The following is a 21,620-nucleotide window of genomic DNA, read 5'->3' on the forward strand; positions in this document are numbered from 1 at the left end:
TGCACCCCATCCTCACCACAGCCCTACTCCCTGAAGGGCCCTTGTCCATAGAAGGCCTGCATAGGGCTCATTCCAGGGGCCCCTCCATTTGGGGCTTATGATGGACTGGCCTAGCAGAGAAAAATAACTGCTTGGACTCCATATGACTTTATTTTCTGGGGTGGAGGAGAAAGCGAGCCACCTCAGCTGCCTCATCATGCAAAAGGTAGAGATTAGACCCCAGGAAGGACTTCCTTTGGCTTAGGGCATCCTTCTCCCTGCAGTCACCAGCAGGGGGCGCCACAGGCCAGCCTGTGGGACCCACTATCTGAGAACGGGGTTGTCACCCAGGAGTGAGTGAAGGTCTGGCCAGCACTGAGGGCTCTGGGGTGCAGAGAAGTTAGGAGATCCATCAAAGCAGCCAGACCACCTGGTGGGAGGCGGCACACACTCTGCCAGTCCGGACACGGGTTAGGGAGTGGCATCACATTCCGCCGAGTCATTGCCTGCGAAGACTAACGTCACCTCTGATGTCAGGGCTCCAAGGGGCTTCGTTCCAGCTCCAGGCTCCAGGAAAGGGCGTCGCAGGGCCCAGAGGTTACACAACTTCCCCCAAGATCGCTGTGGAAATGACTGGCAGAGCAGGGATTCAAACCCAGGTCCCTGTGGGTGCCTCTGCCCAGCCGCCTGCAGGGTCTGCAGGTGGCCATGTCCCACGTGTCACCTTTACAGACCCACGGCTGAGAGCCGGCCCAGCCTTGGCCTGGCTTCCTTCTTTCTCATCTCTAAAAATGCCTTTCATTCTAAGATCTCCTTGGCAGCTTCATAATAAAAAGAAGGCTTCTGAAACCGCAAATGTTTTTAAATGAATTCAAGCCCCAAGTTTCTGCAGGGGGGTGAGGGATGCAGGATGAAGGTAAGTTTTTGAGTATGAAAGTTACATGCATGATGCGAGAGCCCTCCACTGACCTCCAAAACTCGCGCTGCCGGGGATACGAGGGCCCCTGGCGAGTCTCCCGAAGTGTCTCCTTTTGAAAGCTCACCGGTCCTTGTACTCTGAGTGCTTTCAGTTGGGTCCATTATGAGAAATCTCCTTTTGAGCATGGATGTATTCAAATCCAGATGTTGTCCCCGCAGAACAAAAAGCTCCCTCCAAATTCTCTTTATGAAGAAGTAGGTTCTCACCCTTTGAAGGAATAAACATCTCTTGATAAGTGGAATTTTTTTCCCCCAGCCAAGAACCTGCTGCTCCGAATTTGCTAAAAACTGGTTTAATAGCCGGTCTCCATTCTATTTCAGAGGCCAAGATGGCGGCGACAAGGTGGAATGTCAGCAGAAGATGTATTCAATAGATTGAGTGTGGCTTCACTAAGAAGGCTGGATTTTTAAAATATTTGTTATTTATTTAGATACTTTGTTTTTAAATTCAAGACATACATTCTAATGACAAAAGTGAAAAACAGATTGAAAGATGAAAAACAGAGTGTCAGAAAAACCTGCTCAATCATATACTTCATTTTGATTCAAATAACAACTTTTCAGGAAGGAAGGATACAGTAAACCTACGCATTGATTGTAAATTAGTCCCAATTTCTATAATATTCATTTTCTTAAAGTATGCTGGGCGTGGTGACTCATACCTGTAATCCCAGCACTTCGGGAGGCCAAGGCAGGTGGATTGCTTGAGCCCAAGAGCTTGAGATCAGCCTGGGCAACATGGCGAAACTTCGTCTCTACAAAAAATACAAAAATTAGCCAGGTGTGTAGTGGCAGGAGCCTGTAGTCCCAGCTACTCAGGAGGCTGAGGTGGGAGAATGGCTTAAACCGGGAGGTAGAGGCTGCTGTGAGCCAAGATCCTGCACTACACTTTAGCCTGCGTGACAGAGTGAGACCCTGTCTCAAAAATAAAATAAAATAAACCTTAAAATAGGGGAAATATGGATTACATATTTGTTAACTATATGTGTATATATAGCCAACAGAAATTTTTATCAGTAGGGTCTAGTTTTTTTGCTGTTGATAAAACCATCTGAGAGCTGGAAACAGGAATCCTTTCCTCACTCTGCTTGCATACCATTGGTGATGGGGAGCTCACCACCTCTGAAGGCACTCTGATTCACTGTGGGAAAGTTCTGATAGCCACAGAGCTGGTTCTCAGGCCCCTGTTATCTCCATGGGTGCCAGTTCTGCCCTTGGAGCCAGGCAGGGTTATACCACTGTTCCTGCCTCTGCCCTTTTGAGTCTTCTCTTCTGCAAGATCAGTATCCCCAGTTCCTCACTAACCTTTACCCTCCACAAACTGGACTCTGGTCTCTCCCTGTCTCCTCAAATGTACGACAACCAGAGTTGAGCACAACCCTCCAGCTATCACCTCCCTCATCGTCAACCTGTACCTCTACAGACTCAGCCTGAGACCACAATCATTTGGGGCAACCATCTCAATGTGCAATGAACCTTCAGCCAAAATCTCTTTCATGCAAAAAATTTTAATTTTACATCCATCCGTAGAGGGGTTAGTCCATCATCTCATCCGCTTTAGGGGATTTTGGGCTCTTGTTTGGTCATTTAAAATACCAGCCACTGCATCTAGTTTTGGGTCACCTGCAAATCGAATAAGCATGTCTTCTGCACCTTTAACCCAGCTGTTGATAGGAATGAGTGGTGATCTTGCCCCAGCCGGCCAGTGTCTCTGGGACCCTGGTTTCTCCATCCAATAATGAACAAGGGTGAGATGATGACCTGCATCAAGACATCCCATGGACTACATGTCAGACACTATCCTAAGCCCTTTACAAACACCAAGACATTGAATTCTTCACACCAATTCGATGAGGGAGGTATTGTTAGCATCTTCTCCATTCTGCAGATGAGGAAAACAGGTTTTGCAGGATTTGACCTCAATTCTGACTGCACCCAATCCGATGCTTTAGCCAGCATGGGTTATTCTCGGGAAGATCTCTGATGTGACCTAGAATAGAGCCGGCAGACCCACCAACAGAGCTGTCCTCACAAGCAGGAGTGCTACATGGCACTCCTTGGGCCCCTCGTAGATCCCCAAGTCCCATGCACGGCTCAGAAGCAGTGGAGGGCTGAAGATATGAGGCCACCTTCAGAAAGGGACATTAGATGCCTCAGCCATGATCGGGATGAACAGACAACCAAGGGACAACAAATCTTTCCCCTCACTCCCAGGTCTTGACTCTGCTTCAGAGCAAGGTGCACTTAAAACTTCAAGAGTGACTCAAAGGAGCGTGTTTGCCAGCTCAGTGAAAGTGGGGGCTTGGCGTCAAAACTTCAGGTAGGTTGTGGCATGTAAAGGAAGTGATGTTCCTAATTAAAAGGAAGCATGGGGTCGGGCACAGTGGCTCATGCTTGTAATCCCAGCACTTTGGGAGGCCGAGGCGGGCGGATCACCTGAGGTCAGGAGTTTGAGACCAGCCTGGCCAACACGGTGAAACCCCGTCTCTACTAAAAATACAAAAATCAGCTGGGTATGGTGGCAGGTGCCTGTAATCCCAGCTACTTGGGAGGCTGTGGCAGGAGAATCACATAAACCTGGGAAGTGGAGATTGCAGTGAGCCGAGACTGCGCCACTACGCTCCAGCCTGGGTGACAGAGAAAGACTCTGTCTCAAAAAAAAAAAAAAAAAAAAAACAGAAGCATGTGGTTGGGGGGAGTGATGTTCCCTGCACACCTGAGTTTGTAGTCTGGGAATGGACTCACCACACTCATACTAGATGCCAGATACTTAAGACACATTCCGTACTCCCCAGGGCCCTATTAAGTAGATACCATGATCAAAGGTGGGTTTTCAGTGATGCTGAGGACATTTAAACCTTCAGGTCCTCTCACTTGCAGGGGCCCTTCCCAGACCCTGCAGGGGAAGTGTTTCCCTTTTGGAATTTGTAAGAGAGCCCTCCAAACTACAGAAGCTTGAGGCCTTACAAAAGCTTCCCGTTATTACCCCCATTTTAAAACTGAAGGGAAATGTGACACAGGTGAAGCAAGTTACTCAAGGTGGCAGCACTGGGAGGTAGCGTGGTTAGGACTCAACCCCTTAGATCAGGGGTGTCCAATCTTTTGGCTTCCCTGGGCCACACTGGGAGAACTGGATTGTCTTGGGCCACACATAAAATACATTAACACTAATGATAGCTGATGAGCTAAACACACGCACACATGCACACACACACACAAGTCTCATAATGTTTTAAGAAAATTTACAAATTTGTGTTGGGCTGCATTCAAAGCTGTCCTGGGCCAAGCTTGTTGGACAAGCTTGCCTTAGATGAAGCCCAACGTTTTCAAAGAGTTTTCCCATGGAATACATGTCTTTTTTTTTTTTTTTTTGAGATGGAGTCTTGCTCTGTCACCCAGGCTGGAGTGCAGTGGCACGATCTCGGCTCACTGCAAGCTCTGCCTCTGCCTCCTGGGTTCATGCCATTTTCCTGCCTCAGCCTCCCAAGTAGCTGGGACTACAGGCACCCACCACCAAGCCAGGCTAATTTTTCTGTATTTTCAGTAGAGATGGCGTTTCACCATGTTAGCCAGGATGGTCTCGATCTCCTGACCTCATGATCCACCCGCCTCGGCTTCCCAAAGTGCTGGGATTACAGCAGGTGAGAGCCACCATGCCCAGCCTTTTTTTTTTTTTAAGACAGAGTCTCACTCTGTCACCCAGGCTGGGGTGCAGTGGTCAGATCTCGGCTCACTGCAACCTCTGCCTCCCAGGCACAAGCAATTCTCATGCCACAACCTCCCAAGTAGCTGGGACTACAGGCGCCCACCACCATGCCTGGCTAATTTTTGTATTTTTAGTAGAGACGAGGTTTCACCGTGTTAGCCAGAATGGTCTCAATCTCCTGACCTTGTCATCCACCCGCCTCGGCCTCCCAAAGTGCTGGGATTACAGGCATGAGCCCCTGCGCCCAGCCAGGTTCCTACCTTTTACCTTATGCCAAAATAAATTTCAGTGGGTCAAAATTACACATAAAAATGAAACCGTAAGTGCATTTAACAAAATAAGAGAATATGTATCATAATCATAGAGAAGACCTTCTGTTTTGTTCATCGTTTGTTTGTTTTGAGATGGAGATTTGCGTTTGTTGCCCAGGCTAAAGTGCAATGGTGTGATCTCAGCTTACCGCAACCTCCACCTCCCGGGTTCAAGTGATTCTCCTGCCTCAGCCTCCCGAGTAGCAGGGATTACAGGCATATGCCACCACACACAGCTAATTTTGTATTTTAGTAGAGACGGGGTTTCTCCATGTTGGTCAGGCTGGTCTTGAACTCCTGACCTCAGGTGATCCACTCGCCTTGGCCTCCCAAAGTGTTGAGATTACAGGTGTGAGCCACCGTGCCCGGCAAGAAAAGACCTTATTAAATATCACAGAAAAGCCCAAAACCATAAAAGAAAATGATGTTTGTATACAAAAAAATTGAACATTTTTTCCTGGTTAAAAAAAAAAACAAAAGGTGAGAATGATGGTTTACACCTGTAATTCCAGCACTTTGGGAGGCCGAGGTGGGCAGATTGCTTGAGCCCAGGAGTTTGAGACCAGCCTGGACAACATGATGAAACCCCATCTCTACAAACAATACAAAAATTAGCTGGGCCTAGTGGTGTGTGCCTATAGTCCCAGCTACTTGGGAGGCTGAGGTGGGAGGATCGCTTGAGCCAGGAAATTGAGGCTGCAGTGAGCTGGAACCACACCATTGCACTCCAGCCTGGGCAACAGAGCAAGACCCTGTCTCCAAAAAAAAAGGAAAAAGAAAAAAGAAATTCTTATACAAAGTCAAATAACAATTGACTAACAGGAAAAGAAACATCGGAAACATATCACAGACAGCTAATTTCTTTTACACTTAAAGAGCTTCTACAAATCAATAAGGATAAAAGACCAATAATTTAATGGAAAAATAAGCAAATGAGACCAAACACAGTGGCTCACGCCTGTTATCCCAGCACTCTGGGAGGCGGAGGGAGGCAGATCATGAGGTCAGGTGTTCGAGACCAGTCTGGCCAACATAGGGAAACGCCATCTCTACTAAAAATACAAAAAATTAGCTGGGAGTGTCAGTGGGCACCTGTAATCTCAGCTACTCGGGAGGCTGAGGCAGGAGAATTGCTTGAACCCAGGAGGCGGAGGTTGCAGTGAGCCAAGATCACGCCATTGCACTCCAGACTAGGCGACAGAGCGAGACTACATCTCGAAAAAAAAAAGAAAAAAGAAAGAAAGAAAAAGAAGCAAATGATGTAAACAACTGGATGCAAAAACAAGGCAAATTGGTCTTAAATATATAAGAGAACTCTCATCCACACTTATAAATGGAATGCACGTTGGAATACAATGAGACACCATTTTCCACCTACCAGCCTGGCAAAAATCAAAATGTGTGATGGCCCACTGTGTTGGCAAGGCTGTTGGGAAGGTAACAGTACAATTTCTTTCTTCTTGGTCTCACTCTGTCACTCAGCCTGCCGTGCAGTGGTGTGATCATGGTTCACTACAGCCTCCGCCTCCCAGGCTCAATCGATCCTTCCACCTCAGCCTCCCAAGTAGCTGGGACTACAGATGTACATCACCGCACCCAGCTTTTTTTTTTTTCTTTTTTCGTAGAGACAGGGTTTCACCATGTTGCCCAGGCTGGTCTTGAACTCACAGGCTCAAGCAATCTGCACACCTCAGCCACCCAAAGTGCTAGGATTGCAGGCGTAAGCCACTGCACCCAGCCGATGGTACAATTTCTATGAAGAGGGTATTTAGCAATATTTTTCTAAAAGTAAATGGTTATATACCCTTTGTTATAGGCTGAATTGCATCCCCAAAAATTCGTATGTTCAGGTCCTATGCCCCAGTACCTCAGAATGTGACCTTATTTAGAAATAGGGTCATTGCAGATGTAATTCATTCAGATGAGGTCATACAATATGACGAGTCCTTATGAGAACAAGAAATTTGGACATAGACATATACACAGGAAAAACACCATGTGAACATCAAGGTAAACATTGGGGTGATGTTTCTCCAAGCCAAAGAATGCCAACGAATGCCAGCAAACCACCAGAAGCCGTGGGAGAGGCATGGAACAGGTTCTTCCTTACAGCCCTCGGAAGGAACCAATTCTGCTGACATCTTGACCTTGGGTTCCCAGCCTCCAGAACTGAGACAATAGATTTGTTGCTTAAGCCACCCAGTTTGTACTTTGTGATGGCAGCCCTACCAAATCAACAAACTCTAACTCAGCAAGAGGAATTTACCCTGCTACGTATTTGCACAGTTGCAAAGTGATACACAGACGGAGGCATACATTGCAGTATTGTTTGTGATAGTAAAGACTGGAAAAAACCTAAATGTTTATCAGCCAAAAACTGCCTAAATAAACTATAGTACATCCTTCCAGTGGAATATTTTTCAGCTGTTAACAGTAACGAGAAGCTGGGTGTGGTGGCTCACGCCTGTAATCCTAACAGTTTGGGAGGCCAAGGCAGGAGGATCACTTGAGCCCAAAAGTTGGAGACCAGCCTGGGCAACATGGCGAAACCCTGTCTCAACAAAAAATACAAAAATTAGCCAGGGCTGGGAGCGGTGGCTTATGCCTGTAATCCTAACACTTTGGAAGGCTGAGGCAAGTGGATCACTTGAGATCAGGAGTTCAAGACCAGCCTGGCCAATATGGTGAAATCCTGTCTTTACTAAAAATACAAAAATTAGCAGGGTGTGGTGGTGGGCACCTGTAATACCAGCTACTCAGGAGGCTGAGACAGGAGAATCACTTGAACTAGGGAGGCGGAGGTTGCAGTGAGCCGAGATCGTTCCATGGCACTCCGGCCTGGGCAACTGAGCAAGACTCTATCTAAAAAAAAAAAAAAAAATTATTAGCTGGGCATGGTGGTGCATGCCTGTAGTCCCAGCTACTCGGGAGGCTGAGGTGGGAGAATGGCTTGAGCCTGGGAGGTTAGGCTGCAGTGAGCCAAGATCACACCACTGCACTCCAGCCTGGGCGACAGAAGACCCTATCTCAAAAAAAAAAAAAAAAAAAAAAGAGTGGAATAAAACAAAATGTTTAATCAGTCAAAACCTGCCTAAATAAATTATGGTACATTCTTCCAATGGAATGTTTGTCAGCTATTAACAGTAACGAGGCAGCTTAACATGTACTGATTGGAATTATCTCAAAGGTTTATTTTTAAGTGAGAAAAGCAAGGTGCAGCTGGTTATAGAAAGAGCTTCGTTTATATAAAAATAAAGAGCAACACCTCAGAAATAAGAACAAAAAAGGAAAAGAGAGAAAAAAATCTGGAGCAAGATATCCTCAGAAATAAGAAAAAGAAAGAAACAAAGCCAAATATATATGTGCAAACATTTGCTCCTGGACGCATAGATTCCATCTGAGAAGAGACATAAGAAACTGCTAACTTTGCTTGTTCCTAGATAGCAGAGCCACTTCCCAGGACCAGGACCAGGGGAAAGGGATCCTGTTTCTACCATAAATATCCCTGCACCTTTTGAACCTCTACCTTGTTAATGGATCACCTGTTCAAAAAAATTTTTTTAAACCAACTTTTTTTTTTTTTTTTTTTTTTTTTTGAGATGGAGTTTCACTCTTGTTGCCCAGGCTGGAGTGCAGTGGCACGATCTCAGCTCACTGCAACCTCCGCCTCCCAGGTTCAAGCGATTCTCCTGCCTCAGCCTCCCAAGTAGCTGGGATTACAGGCATGTGCCACCTGGCTAATTTTGTATTTTTAGTAGAGACGGGGTTTCTTCATGTTGGTCAGGCTGGTCTTGAACTCCCGACCTCAGGTGATCTGCACACCTCAGCCTCCCAAAGTGCTGGGATTACAGGAATGAGCCACCGCACCCGACCAAAAAAAAAATCTAGAACTTCAAAAATGAACATTTTAAGAGAAAATGTAGTCATTTTAGCTTTTCATCTTTTGGAAATAACAGCTATTCATAGCTGAAATGGGTTGTTTGAGGAGGTGATATCTTCTCTCTTATCTCTTCATTTAGAAACCAAGCACAAAGTTTGTTTTTAAAACAACTAAATAAATCACAAGAATGAAGTATAAGATGCAAACGTTCTAAACCACCATGAATTGCAAGTATATTTATTTTTGTTTTTGTTTGTTTGTTTTTTGAGACGGAGTCTTGCTCTGTTACCCAGGTTAGAGTGCAGTGGCACAATCTCAGCTCACTGCAACCTCCGCCTCCCGGGTTCAAGTGATTCTCCTCAGCCTCCCGAGTAGCTGGGATTACAGGCATGTGCCACGACGCCCAGCTAGTTTTTGTATTTTTAGTAGAGATGGGGTTTCACCATGTTGGCCAGGCTGGTCTCAAACTCCTGACCTCAAGTGATCCACCTGCCTCAGGCTCCCAAAGTGCTGGGATTACAAGCGTGAGCCACCACACCTGGCCTGAAAGTATATTTATTTTTGTAATTCATAGCATGTAGTTAAATTTCGATCTACAATAATAATTTCAGTAAACATTCAGTTCCCAAATCAAGCCTGACAACTTATTTTTAATTTATTTGTCTGTAAACCTTGCTTTTCCTCGTAAAATTTAATTCTTTCTTCCCTAAAACTCTCCTGACAGATATAAATTCTATTAAACAGTAGGCATCCCTTTATTAAGTAGAAAATCATCAAAAGTAGCCTTTAAAAATAATGCATCTTTTTACATATACACTTTCTAATACAATCCTTGGGATCAGACTGATCTAAAATAAAATAAATTTTCTCAACATATCTTCTATAGCTTGTAAAAATGATGAAATGAATTTATTTTTAAAAAGGGTTTGTAAGGTCATTCATTGATTGCTGTGAAAATGATCTGAATGTCCAAACATTGAGAAAGGCAACCTAGGCCTGCCGTGTACAGTTGTGCAAGCTGTGAACTGCACAACTCCAGAGGCGCCATACAGATCAGAATCCAAAATTGTTCAGTGCAACACCTGTGCAGCCAAACACATCAGCCCTGTGGCTGCTGAAAAGGTTAGGGAGCCATAGAAGGCTTTGGGGGCAGGAGAGGGTAGGTGTCAGAGCTGGGGTCACAGGGATTGTAAGGCCAGAAACCCATGCATACAGCCTCCCATCTCTCTAGGTTGGCCTCCCTTTTGGAGGCTCTGGCAATAGAAATATCCTATTTTCTCTGAGCCTCATAACCTTGGTTTTCCTAAGGATGGGGGGAAGGACTTATCTCTCAAGGCCCATAATCACTTCTTTGGCCTGTACAAGGCAATGTCCTCTTTAATCACTTGTCCACTAAGAAGCAAGGCCAGGAAAGGTCCCCACCCTATCCCTAATCTTTACTCCTGCTCTCATGGAAGCAGAAGTGGCTGGCATAAGGGGTGGGGTGGAGGGGCTGAACCCTAAATGGCATTCAGCACATGTGGCTCCTAGGACCAGCTTCACCACTACCCTGCTGTAATCTTTGGCAAATCCTTAAGCCTCTCTGGGTTTCTACCTCCCTGTTTACAAAATAAAGACAAATATTAACATTCCTTCTCTGCCTCTTGGAAAGATAGGCAAGACAAGAGAGAAAACATGTAGTGATGATTTCACTGGGAATGCACAGAAATTCAAGTATTCTAATTACCATTAAACATTAAGAATTAGGCTAGGCATGGTGGCTCACGCCTGTAATCCCAGCACTTTGGGAGGCTGAGGCAGGTGGCTCACTTGAGTCCAGGAGTTCGAGACCAGCCTGGACAACATGGTGAAACTCCATCTCTACAAAAAAATATAAAATTTAGCTGGGCAGGGTGGCACACGCTTCTTATCCCAGCTACACAGGAGGCTGAGGCAAGAGAATCGCTTGAACCTGGGAGGCGGAGGTTGCAGTGAGCCAGGAGGCGGAGGTTGCAGTGAGCCAAGATCACGCCACTGCACTACGGCCTGGGTAACAGAGTGAGACCCTGTCTCAAAAAAAGAAAAGAAAAACAATTAAGAATTAGTGGACTGTGGATCAGGAGGCCCTGCTAAGCAGCTGTAAAACCTTGAACAAGTCTCATGACCTCTCTAGGTCTTATATTTGTCATGTGTGAGGTAGCTGAGCTTGAGCTGATTCAGCATTCTGCTGACCTTTTCACTATGAGTGTTTTACTATTGCCAAACAGATCTCATATTTTCTAAGATTTTATCTCCTAAGCTGTATTTAGGTAATTATTATATACTTAGTAATTAAGTAATTATTATTACCATTAAAAGGGATATCTTTGGTTGTGACAGAACTTGTGGGCTTAGATAACCAACAAGCCTAGAACCAGGGGTAGCTTTAAGTAAGGCTTGATCCAGCAGCTGTTACCAAGAACCTATTTTCTTTCAGTCTCTTGGCTCTGTCTCCTATGATGTGTCACAAGGTGGCTGCCAGAAGCTCCTGGCAATACTTGCTTTTCTCCTTTGTAATTAGCAAGAAGTAGTTGGTTTCCCAGTTAGCTCAAAGAAAAGACTCAGAATTGAGACCCATTCACTCTGGTTGGCCTGATTTGGGACCTATACCTTTTTCTGACCAATTGCTGTAGCCTGAAGGATGAAATATTCTGATTTGGCTGGGTGCAGCGGCTTATGCCTGTAATCCCAGGCACTTTGAGAGGCCGAGACAGCTGGATTGCCTGAGCTCAGGAGTTCAAGACCAGCCTGGGCAACATGGGGAAACCCCATCTCTACTAAAAATACAAAAAATGGCCGGCTGTGGTGGCATGCACCTGTGATCCCAGCTACTCAGGAGGCTGAGGTGGGAGGATCACTTGAGCCTGGGAGGCAGAGGCTGCAGTGAGGCGAGATCATGCTACTGCACTCCAGCCTGGGTGACACAGTGAGATCCCATCTCACTAAAAAAAAAAAACTAAGAAACATTCTGATTTGCAGTCCAGGCACAGTGGCTCACGCCTGTAATCCCAGCACTTTGGGAGGCTCAGGCAGGTGGGATCATGAGATCAGGAATTCGAGACCAATCTGGCCAGGAGACCAGCCTGGCTAATATGGTGAAACCCCATCTCTACTAAAAATATAAAAATTAGCTGGGCCTGGTGGCAGGTGCCTGTAATCCCAGCTACTCGGGAGGCTGAGGCAGGAAAATTGCTTGAACCCGGGAGGTGGAGGTTGCAGTAAGCCGAGATAGAGTCATTGCACTCCAGCCTGGGCAACAGAGTGAGACTCCAACTCAAAGAAAAAAAAAGAAAAGAAAAAGAAAGAAATATTCTGATTTGCTTAAGGCAGTTAGGCCCCACCGCTAGAATAGGGTCCCTTCTGACCAGATTACATGGCTGAGAAATTTCCAATACCATTAGGAATGGGGAATCCAGCAAAGGCGGCGGGAGAGACAACCAGCACCAGCAAGTCTCCTACGGCATGTTTATTGGCCAGTGGTATCTCTAACTGCCATCAGAACAGATGACCACCATGTGAACTGTGCATTAGTGATCCCCATATCTTGTGAGGTGCTCACTATGACCACCCCATCTGTGGGTGGCCACACTGACCCCATGAGCTGACGTCAGCCCAGCCACTGCAAGCTCCTGACTCCGGTTAGATCTGCCCTGGTCGCAAGTTCATCTATGTTCAGCTTCTAGTTCCCCACTCCCATCTGAACCTTCACAGATGGCTCAGCTAGAGACCCTAGGTAAGCCTTGAGCTCCCTTCCAGCCGAGTTCCCCGTGACTGCTTTTTTCAGATGCAAGGGGAGGTCCACGAGCTGGACATGGTAAAGACGGTACAACAGACATGTACACAGCAAAACATAACTGGAACCACTTCAGCTCATGCGTGCATTGACTCAGCAAACATTTACCAACATCCGTCCCAGGTCCTGTGCTGGGAATGCAGAGGACAGTGAGACTCAGGGCCGTCCTCAAGGAGCCACAGTCAGGTGGGGAGACAATGGTGGCACAGACCATCCCAGTTCATTATGGAAACACAGCAAGGGAGGCACTTCCCCCTCCTAGGCCAGAAGGGATGAATGTCCACGTAGCAGCCTCAGCGGCAGGGCCACCTCAGCCCCATCTCCTACTCTCTAGGCTTCAGGAAAGGCTATGGGGGCTCTCCAGCAGCTCTGAGTTTATCACCAGAGTGGTGTCCCCAGTGCACATTAGGGAGTGTTCAACCCCAAAACTGGGGACCCAACCCCTCTTCACATGCTAAGGGCTTTGCAGAATCTTCTCTGGCCCCTTTACTGCAATAGCTCTGGGGGCAGAAGTAGGGGGCAGAGACAGACTCAATCTTTTATCCACTTTCAGGCCATGCCTCTTCCTGGACCTTCAAAACTGGTGAGATTCACCTGGTAAGGGCGTGCACAGTGAGATCAAAGCAGAAATTTCCACTCTAAACTATTCTTTCCAACTAATACTTGGGATTCAGCCCTTCCTTTGAATTTAGCATTGCCCTAATCAGGTCCCCAAGTGAATCAACAATACTTCAGAGCTGTGTGGGTCTGACCCACATCTCTGTGGCAAATGGGGCCAGAGATCCCGGGACAGAGAAAGCCTGGCTAGTCCCATTCTTGGCTCTGTCCAAATTAACTTGGCACGTGGCCGGGGGCAAGTCCCTTTCCTCTTTCTCTCCCAGTCTCCTCATCTATGAAACAAAATTCAAGGCCAGGTGTGGTGGCTCATGTTTGTAATCCCAGCACTTTGGGAGGTGGAGGCCAGCGGATCACTTGAGGTCAGGAGTTTGAGACCAGCCTGACCAACATAGTGAAACCCCGTCTCTACTAAAAAAAAAATACAAAAATTAGCCAGGTGTGGTGGCACACATCTGTAATACCAGCTATGTGGGAAGCTGAGGCAGGAGAATTGCTTGACCCCGGGAGGCGGAGCTTGCAGTGAGCTGAGATCATGCCACTGCATTCCAGCTTGGGCAACAGAGTGAGACTCCATCTCAAAAAAAAAAAAAAAAGAAACAAAGGATTTAGGCTAATCAATCTCTATGAGACCTCCTAGCTCTAGCAGTCTGATTTGAGGGTTCAGAAACAGGGAGGAGGGGTAGCAGCATGGGGGTTGGTTGAGAGAGAAGAGAGACAGGAGCTGGCCAGGGCTCCATAGCCAAAAAGGCTGCAAGTTTGGACTTCAGATGCTATCTCCAGATAGGATTGTACTCAGTCACAGGATGCAGACCAATAGAACTGAAAAGAGATGGGTGACCTATCACCAAAACACACCATCTGTAAGGCCCATAAAATTATATATATGGTAAATATATATATATATATCTTCTGAATTTTGGAATTAACTTTAGGTTTGCAGAAGAGTTGCGAAGATAGTACAGAGAGTTCCCGAATACCTGACCTCCAGTTTCAGTTTCCCCTAACGTTATCTTACACCACCCTGGTACATTTCTCTTGGTAACTAAATATATATATATATATATATATATATATATATATATACACACACACACATATATATAGTTACCAAATAAACTTCTGAATTTGGGGTTTTTGGGGTTTTTTTGTTTGTTTTTTGTTTGTTTGTTTTTTGCTTGAGACGGAATCTCGCTCTGTTGCCCAGGCTGGAGTGCAGTGGTGCGATCTCAGCTCACTACAATCCCTGCCTCCCTGGTTCAAGTGATTCTCCTGCCTCAGCCTCCCAAGTAGTTGGGATTACAGGTGTCCACTACCATGCCCGGCTAATTTGTGTATTTTTAGTAGAGACGGGGTTTCACCATGTTGGTCAGGCTGGTCTCCTGACCTCAGGTGATGTGACTGCCTCAGCCTAACTTCTGAATTTTGGAATTAACTTTAGGTTTACAGAAGAGTTGCAAAGATAGTACAGACAGTTCCAGAATACCCAACCTCCAGTTTCAGTTTCCCCTAATGTTATCTTACACCACCCTGGTACATTTCTCAAAACTCAAAAATCCCACATTGGTCCATCATTAGTAACATAACTGCAGACCTTATTTGGATTTCACCAGCCTCTCTGTTCCTGCTCTCTCTGCTCCACGACATGACCTAGAGTGGCATCCTGCATCTAGGCAGCATGTCCGGTGTCCTCTGGTCCGTGGCTGTTGCTGTCTTTCTATGCTTTTGATTTTTTCTTTTTCACAATGCTTTAATTATTTCTGTGCTTCTTACAACCTTGACAGTTTTGAGGAGTCCTAGTCAGGTATTTTGCAGAATGACCTTTAATTTGGGTTTGTCTGACCTTTTTCTCCAGGGTTATGGAGTTTTAGAAAGAATATGACAGAGGTGAAGTATCCTTCTGGTCATATAGCATGGTGTGGAGGGGGCAGGGTTAGCTACATGATAGCCACTAGACTTATCACTGGTGATGTTAACCTTGAGCCCTTGGTTAAAGTGGTGTCTGCAGGTTTCTCCATTGTATAGTTACTATTCTTCTCTTTCCCTACTCTATTATTTAGAAGCAAGTCCTGAGTCCAGTGTACAGGAAAGGGAAGGGAAAGGAATAATTAAGCTCCACCTCCTAGAGGAGAAACAATCTGCATTCATTATTGGAAATTCTTCTGTAAGGAAGACTTGCCTCTTCTCCCCCAGTAGGTTATTGATTCAACAATTTATTTATATCAGGGCTGGGTATGGTGGCTCATGCCTTTAATCCCAGCACTTTGGGGGACCAAGGTGGAGGACTATTTCCGGCCAGGAGTTCAAGACCAGCTTGGGCAACATAGCGAGATCCCCATCTCTACAAAAAAAATTTTTTTAATTTGCCAGGCGTGGTGGTGCACAACTGTAGTCCTAGCTACTCAGGAGGCTGAAGCAGGAGGATCGTTTAAGCCCAGGAGTTCAAGGTTACAGTGAGCTATGATCACGGCACTGCACTCAAGCCTGGGCGACAGAGCAAGACCCTGGCTCTGAAAACAAAAAAATTATTTATATCAGTATAAATATTTATTTTATACTTTAGGTTATAATTCAATATTATCCTATTATTTATTCCCTTGCTCAGTTGCTCCAGCTTTGGCCATAGGGAGCTCTTCTGGCTCCTGGATCCCTTTGACGCACTCCCATCCTTTTGTGTTTTGAGCGCTTCCTAAATCCCTGGCACCACAGCACACTGCCGGCTCATCCTTTCCCTGTCCCAGCCCTAAAATCAGCCATCTCTCCAAGGAAATAATGTATTTTTAATACAAGTTCTCCAATTATCTTGTCAATAGTCCAAATATATTGCACCGCATTTGAATGCATGATTTAAAAAAAAAAGAGTTAATTTGTTCAGTTACCGTTTAAAACATACATTGATTTTTGTAGCCCTGCTGTGACATGTCTTTTTGAAATATACCAGGAGTCTGGCCGGGAGCAGTGGCTCATGCCTGTAATCCCAGCACTTTGGGAGGCCAAGGCGGGCGGATCACGAGGTCAAGAGATCGAGACCATCCTGGCTAACACGGTGAAACCCCGTTTCTACTAAAAACACAAAAAAATTATCCAGGTGTGTTGGCAGGCACCTGTAGTCCCAGCTACTGGTAGTCCCAGCTACTCGGGAGGCTGAGGCAGGAGAATGGCATGAACCTGGGAGGCGGAGCTTGCAGTGAGCTGAGATCGCGCCACTGCACTCCAGCCTGGGCGACAGAGCCAGACTCCATCTCGAAAATAAAAAATAAAAAGAAATATACCAGGAGTCTCAAACATGGGAGGGATCTGGTCCTTTCTTCACTTCTAGGAGGCCTTGTTGAATTTAAACATCACCTCAGCAGCCACTCCCTTAAGGCTTGAGGGCAGCCTGCCCAGCCTTTCTACAGAGGTAGCCCAGTTCCCGGGTCCTCCCCAGGCTGAGCTGCCCAGTGAAGCAACTGAAAGCCAAGGTCATTCCTGGGACCTTTCCCTCTCCAACCTCATCTCCCAACCCCCCACCACCCTCAGGCAGTGACCAGTCCACAAGCTTTGCAGACCCCACCTACGCTGGCTGGGCACAGGCAGATAGATGGTGGGAGGCCAGGCAGGCTCCAAGAAGGAAATTAGCCAGCCCAGCTGCCAAGACAGGCATACGAGAGGCAGAGGGGTTTGTGTGGGCTCGGCTTCAGAGAACTCCTGGGGATTAGGGCCAAAGTTTGCAAAATCCAGCTGTAAACGGAGCAGGGGTTCCCCAAAGAAGCCGTGGGTTCTGTAGAGGAGAGTCGGCTTCTTGGGAAGTAGCATGAGCCGGAAGACAGCGAGACTGTGGCTCTCTCTGGGAGGGCAGGGAGCAGCATGACTCATCGCCTAGTCCTGCTGGCTCCTACTGGCACAGGGCTGGGCAGCAGAGGGTCTGGGAGCAGGAGCAGAGTCTGGTCTTGTTGCAGCTCCAGAGGAGGTCTCAGGCTGGCAAAGACAATCTAACACGTTGGGACATAGGCAGGGTGTTGTGGGGACACTTAGGAGGGTACAACCAGCATCAAAGGAGTCTTGGCTGGCCTCACAGAGGAGGTGACATCATCCAAAAGATGAATGGAACTGGCTAGGAAGCAGCTGGGTGGGAGAGAGGGAAGGGCACTCCAAGCCAAGGAAGAAGCAGAGCAGAGGCCCGAAAGTGTCTGCAAGGCGCTAGCTGGTGCCTGCCACCCAGTGAGCACTCTATAAATGGGAGGCATTATCTCTATGATTGATTAGTATTGTCATTATCATTATTAACCTGGACACATCACTTAATGTTTTTACTATCTTAAAGGTAGTTGCTATAGCGAATAAATGCTTAACATAACTGAGCTCTTCTCATCTGTAAAAGGGACTGTTGTGAGGTTAGGGGTGCCGCCGGCACCGCACTCAGCTGGAGTGACAGCAAGCATGTGAGGTGCCCAGCATGGGATGTGAGCTGGCATGCAGCAGGGGGCCTTGTGTTTCCTCTCTCCTTGGGTTGCCAAGCCCCTGGAGCTGCTGTGCCTGGGGAGCAGAGAAGGGGACACTTTGGGGTCTTCAAAGATGACCAGGCAACAAAGCAGGAACACCGCTAGGTAAGAGCAAGCAAGCCCAGAGGAACAGCCTCAGGGTCCAGATAGAGACGTACACGCCTGCCTCCCTGGGGTCTTTGGTGGCCTCCCGAACAAGCAGGTGTGGATGGGGAGATGGACTGCCTTGGAGAGAGCTACATGAGTTCCAGCTCCACCAGCCCCCAGAGCCTGAGCAGGTGACTTCACCTTTCTGAATCTCTGAACATCCATTTCCTCCACTGTACAATTTCATTAAGATACATACAAGAATATCCAAAGCACAGTCTTTGTAATAGAAAAAAAATCCTAGAAACAACATCCAACAGCAGGTGACTGAATAAGTAACCAGTGGTATATTCATAAAATGGGACACTATTCAGTAGTAAAATAAATTACAGGTATGCAGGCAATCAAAATGGATTTTTAAAAATATAATGCTGTATGAAAAAGGAAGTCACATAATTATGGAATGACTCCGTTTACACAAAGTAAAAAATAGCAAAACTATACAATATCCCACTTAGGGATGCATACAGAGGTGGTAAAACTACAAGAAAAAGCAAGAGAATGACTAGCACAATTAAAGTTCAGGAAACTAGTTCTTCAGGATGTGGGCAGGAGGCTGTGATGGGGGCACCCAGAGGGCCTCAAGGTACTGGCACTGGTCTATTTTTTAAGTTAGGTGATGGATACATGGCTTTTTTATTATTACTATTATTCTTTAAGCTGTACATGTACAGTTGTGTCTATGGTGTCTTTTACAATAAACAAGTATTTATTATAACACTAGCACTTATAGGATACATGCCTATGATGAGGTAGAGAGAATGTAACAAAGGACTGGCACATAGTAAGCACTGGTGGCATGTGGCTCTGTCCTCCAGCGTGTGGGCTCTGTGTTTTCTCTCTCTCTCTCTCACTCACACACACGCACGCACACACACACACACACATAGGAAGCCAGGCTCCCCTCTGCCCTCAGTCACTCGTGGTTCACAAAAATGGCAAATAATAGGAGCACTAGAATAGGAGCTCTCCATCCTGGTTCGAGTCTTTCCAGCTGGGGCAGTTTAGCCTTTGCAGAATTTCTCAAGGGTAACATCAGCATAATGACCTCTGTCTGTAAGCCCGTGAGTGTAAGCCTGTAAAGTGCTGTGCTCATGCGAGGGATCAGGTCTGACCTGGGAAACTAAAAGCATCTTCATGGAGCAAGGGTGCTCCTCCAGTGGGGGCGCTCAGTGAGTTCTGCGGTATGGGTGACAGTATTCTTGTGTGGACAGTATTCATGTGGTGATTGGGGTAAATGGCCCTCTTTTGCCTGGTTTTCTGCCTCGGTCATTGTGCATCTGCTGACTGAACCTGCCTTTTGGTCCTAGTAAAGTACAGATTTCAGGAAAAGTGTACCTGGCCCCGGGGGTGGCCAACCTCTGTGTGACGGCTTTAAGCACAGTGTGTCTTGAGGGGGCCTGACTCCATCTGAAAAGTGCCTGTCTGGATGTACCTGTCTATAACCATGGACCTGCCTCCAAGGTGCGTGGACCAACCTCCGCGTACCTGATTCACTCGATGCGCACCTGGCCGTACGTAGCTTCATCAGGCAGGGTGTACCTGTCAAGTTCTTAGGTCCGAGTGTTCGCGGCTTTACCTGTCCTGGTACCGCCGTCCGCACCTCGGTCAGTGCGTCCCCGGCAGGTGCGTGTACCTGATTCAGTCCGTGCTTATCTTGCGCATACGGGCCGTTCAGTGTCCCGCTCGGAGCTCGTCGCCGCCGCAGCCTTGAGGCTCCGACCCCCGCTTGGGCCCCGTCCGGCGCGCAGCGGCCGCGGGGGCGGGGCCGCGACGCGAGGAGCGGAGCAGGAAGGGGCGAGGCAGCCCCGCCCCCGGGGCGGTCTCCCGGGACGGCCCCGCCCCTTGCCCGCTTCCGCGTCAGTGCCTCACCACCACCTGCCCGCGCGCCGCCCCATATAAAGGCGCCGCCGTCCTTACCCCCAGGACTCGGCCCCATGGAGACGCCGCCGGCCGCCGCTGGCGCATGGCGGGGTGAGGCGCGGCGGGGAGGGTGCGGGCCTCGGCGGGGAAGCGGCAGGGAGCGCTCCGGCGGGGTCCGAGCCGAGCCGAGGGGAGGGGACGGGAGGGGACGGGAGGGGTGGAGAGGGGAGGGGACGGAAGGGTCGGGGTCCTGTTCCCCGGCCCGCCGGGCCTCAGGACCCCTCCAACTTTGCCCAAGTTGGGAGAGCCGGGGAAGAGCACCAGGTTCCTGATCGGGATCGCGGGCCGAGCAAGCGCGGGTCTCGGGCCGGGACAGCCTCGGCGTCACCAGCTCCCGGCAGCCAACCAAAGTTTTCCAGCAACTTTTCTCCCCACGGGTCACCCCAGAAACTTGCCCTCCCCGGCTCCGGGAGTCCGGCCATGGGCCTTGCGCTGCCTGGGCCTGAGCTCTGAGTGCCGGACGGGTGGGCGAAAGTGGTGGCCTCAGTGGGGAAGCCTTGGGCCCCGCAACGCACTTCCAGCCCCAGGATTCCATCTGAGAGCCCCGTCCCTGCCTTCTGGGTCCCCTGGGTTGGCGTGGGGGTTCGAGGCTTTACAGCTGGGGTAGTTCCAGTCTTAGTTCAGACTAAGTTCCGATCTTCGAGCCACCAGCTAACAGCTGGATGACCTTGAGCACGTTTTTAATGTCTGTGCCTCAGTTTCTCCCTTTATAGAATGGGAATGGGAATGCCTAGCTGGGAGAGCTTTTGAGAGGACAACCTGAACTAATAACACGATGCAGTGTGTAGTGCCACCAATCCCTCATCCTGCTGGATGTGGTTTTGGGAGGGAGGTTAGGAGAGAGCGCTATTCACCGTCCCTAACCCTGTTGGTTGTTCAGTAGGAGCTGTGGCGCGGGGCCTTCCAGGAGTCTGAGCTATGAGTGGCCCCTGTGGAGAGAAGCCTGTCCTGGAAGCCAGCCCCACCATGAGTCTGTGGGAATTTGAGGACAGCCACAGCCGTCAGGGCACCCCAAGGCCGGGTCAAGAGCTGGCCGCTGAGGAGGCCTCGGCCCTGGAACTGCAGATGAAGGTGGACTTCTTCCGGAAGCTGGGCTATTCATCCACGGAGATCCACAGCGTCCTGCAGAAGCTGGGCGTCCAGGCAGACACCAACACGGTGCTGGGTGAGCTGGTGAAACACGGGACAGCCACCGAGCGGGAGCGCCAGACCTCACCGGACCCCTGCCCTCAGCTCCCTCTAGTCCCGCGGGGTGGTGGCACCCCTAAGGCTCCCAACCTGGAGCCTCCACTCCCAGAAGAGGAAAAGGAGGGCAGCGACCTGAGACCAGTGGTCATCGATGGGAGCAACGTGGCCATGAGGTAAGTGTCACTTCTGTGGCCAGGACACATGAGGTTCGCATCTCTCCTGTGGCCAGGACACATGGAAGGATGACTGTCTCTGCAGCTCTGGTGGGCTGGAAGAAGTGACTTCCTTCTTAGGGACTGGTCTAGAGGGAGGGAAAGCCTTTTATGAGGCTAGGGTCGCGCTACTGGTAAGTGACAGAGGCAGGGTTCCAGCCCAGGTCCCTCTGTCCGCAGAGCTTACCTTATGCTGTGGGTCCCTCCCTGAGGCCAGCACTGTGTCTCCACTCCTCTCCTGTAATGTGAGGCAGGGCTGTAAAGGGGACCAGCCCGTGGGCAGCTGCTCACTCACCCCTCGGAACCTGATCTCAGGTGGGTGTTGTGAGGAGGGAGTGTGCGGATCCCGGAGAGGAGCAAGCGTTCAGGAACCATAGTAGTGGTAGTAG

General features: G+C 48.4%; 1 protein-coding gene and 1 long non-coding RNA gene across 7 annotated transcripts in view, besides 6 other annotated features; one reads left to right on the top strand and one right to left on the bottom strand.

The window, feature by feature from the left end:
- Positions 1–1,200: an enhancer, noted in NCBI's record as "MED14-independent group 3 enhancer chr1:37920349-37921548 (GRCh37/hg19 assembly coordinates)". NCBI's record gives its function as "activates an origin of replication core promoter dependent on BRD2, BRD4, P300/CBP and CDK7 cofactors, and independent of MED14, by STARR-seq in HCT116 cells {active_cell/tissue: HCT116}" and the evidence as "EXISTENCE:reporter gene assay evidence [ECO:0000049][PMID:35650434]".
- Positions 49–570: an enhancer, noted in NCBI's record as "H3K27ac-H3K4me1 hESC enhancer chr1:37920397-37920918 (GRCh37/hg19 assembly coordinates)". NCBI's record gives its function as "activates a minimal SCP1, AML or CMV promoter by ChIP-STARR-seq in naive H9 embryonic stem cells {active_cell/tissue: H9 hESC(naive)}" and the evidence as "EXISTENCE:reporter gene assay evidence [ECO:0000049][PMID:30033119]".
- Positions 132–19,696, bottom strand: LITATS1 (lncRNA induced by TGF-beta and antagonizes TGF-beta signaling 1). Its single transcript, NR_038842.1, has 3 exons — positions 19,397–19,696; positions 1,620–1,712; positions 132–1,165 (listed from the first exon to the last, which is right to left on the bottom strand). It is a non-coding gene; the product is annotated as a lncRNA induced by TGF-beta and antagonizes TGF-beta signaling 1 (long non-coding RNA).
- Positions 571–1,092: an enhancer, noted in NCBI's record as "H3K27ac-H3K4me1 hESC enhancer chr1:37920919-37921440 (GRCh37/hg19 assembly coordinates)". NCBI's record gives its function as "activates a minimal SCP1, AML or CMV promoter by ChIP-STARR-seq in naive H9 embryonic stem cells {active_cell/tissue: H9 hESC(naive)}" and the evidence as "EXISTENCE:reporter gene assay evidence [ECO:0000049][PMID:30033119]".
- Positions 19,008–19,107: a silencer, noted in NCBI's record as "silent region_670". NCBI's record gives its function as "represses an Ori minimal core promoter by ATAC-STARR-seq in GM12878 lymphoblastoid cells {active_cell/tissue: GM12878}" and the evidence as "EXISTENCE:reporter gene assay evidence [ECO:0000049][PMID:35858748]".
- Positions 19,568–20,027: a silencer, noted in NCBI's record as "silent region_671". NCBI's record gives its function as "represses an Ori minimal core promoter by ATAC-STARR-seq in GM12878 lymphoblastoid cells {active_cell/tissue: GM12878}" and the evidence as "EXISTENCE:reporter gene assay evidence [ECO:0000049][PMID:35858748]".
- The window catches only part of ZC3H12A (zinc finger CCCH-type containing 12A), a 9,798-nt gene continuing 8,010 nt past the window's right edge, over positions 19,833–21,620 (top strand). For 3 of the 6 annotated variants that reach the window (NM_001323551.2, XM_011542198.3, NM_025079.3), the window contains exons 1-2: positions 19,833–19,882; positions 20,712–21,192. Coding sequence is in view for 5 of the 6 variants with exons in the window: in XM_011542198.3 (XP_011540500.1) it covers positions 20,750–21,192 (443 nt within the window). In the remaining variant the exon portion in view is untranslated. The remainder of the gene's footprint in view (positions 19,883–20,711; positions 21,193–21,620) is intronic. The other 3 variants (XM_047430885.1, NM_001323550.2, XM_047430886.1) reach the window with 1 other exon arrangement.
- Positions 20,678–20,777: an enhancer, noted in NCBI's record as "active region_766". NCBI's record gives its function as "activates an Ori minimal core promoter by ATAC-STARR-seq in GM12878 lymphoblastoid cells {active_cell/tissue: GM12878}" and the evidence as "EXISTENCE:reporter gene assay evidence [ECO:0000049][PMID:35858748]".

Source organism: Homo sapiens, chromosome 1 (assembly GCF_000001405.40).
Source record: "Homo sapiens chromosome 1, GRCh38.p14 Primary Assembly".
Classification (NCBI taxonomy): domain Eukaryota; kingdom Metazoa; phylum Chordata; class Mammalia; order Primates; family Hominidae; genus Homo; species Homo sapiens.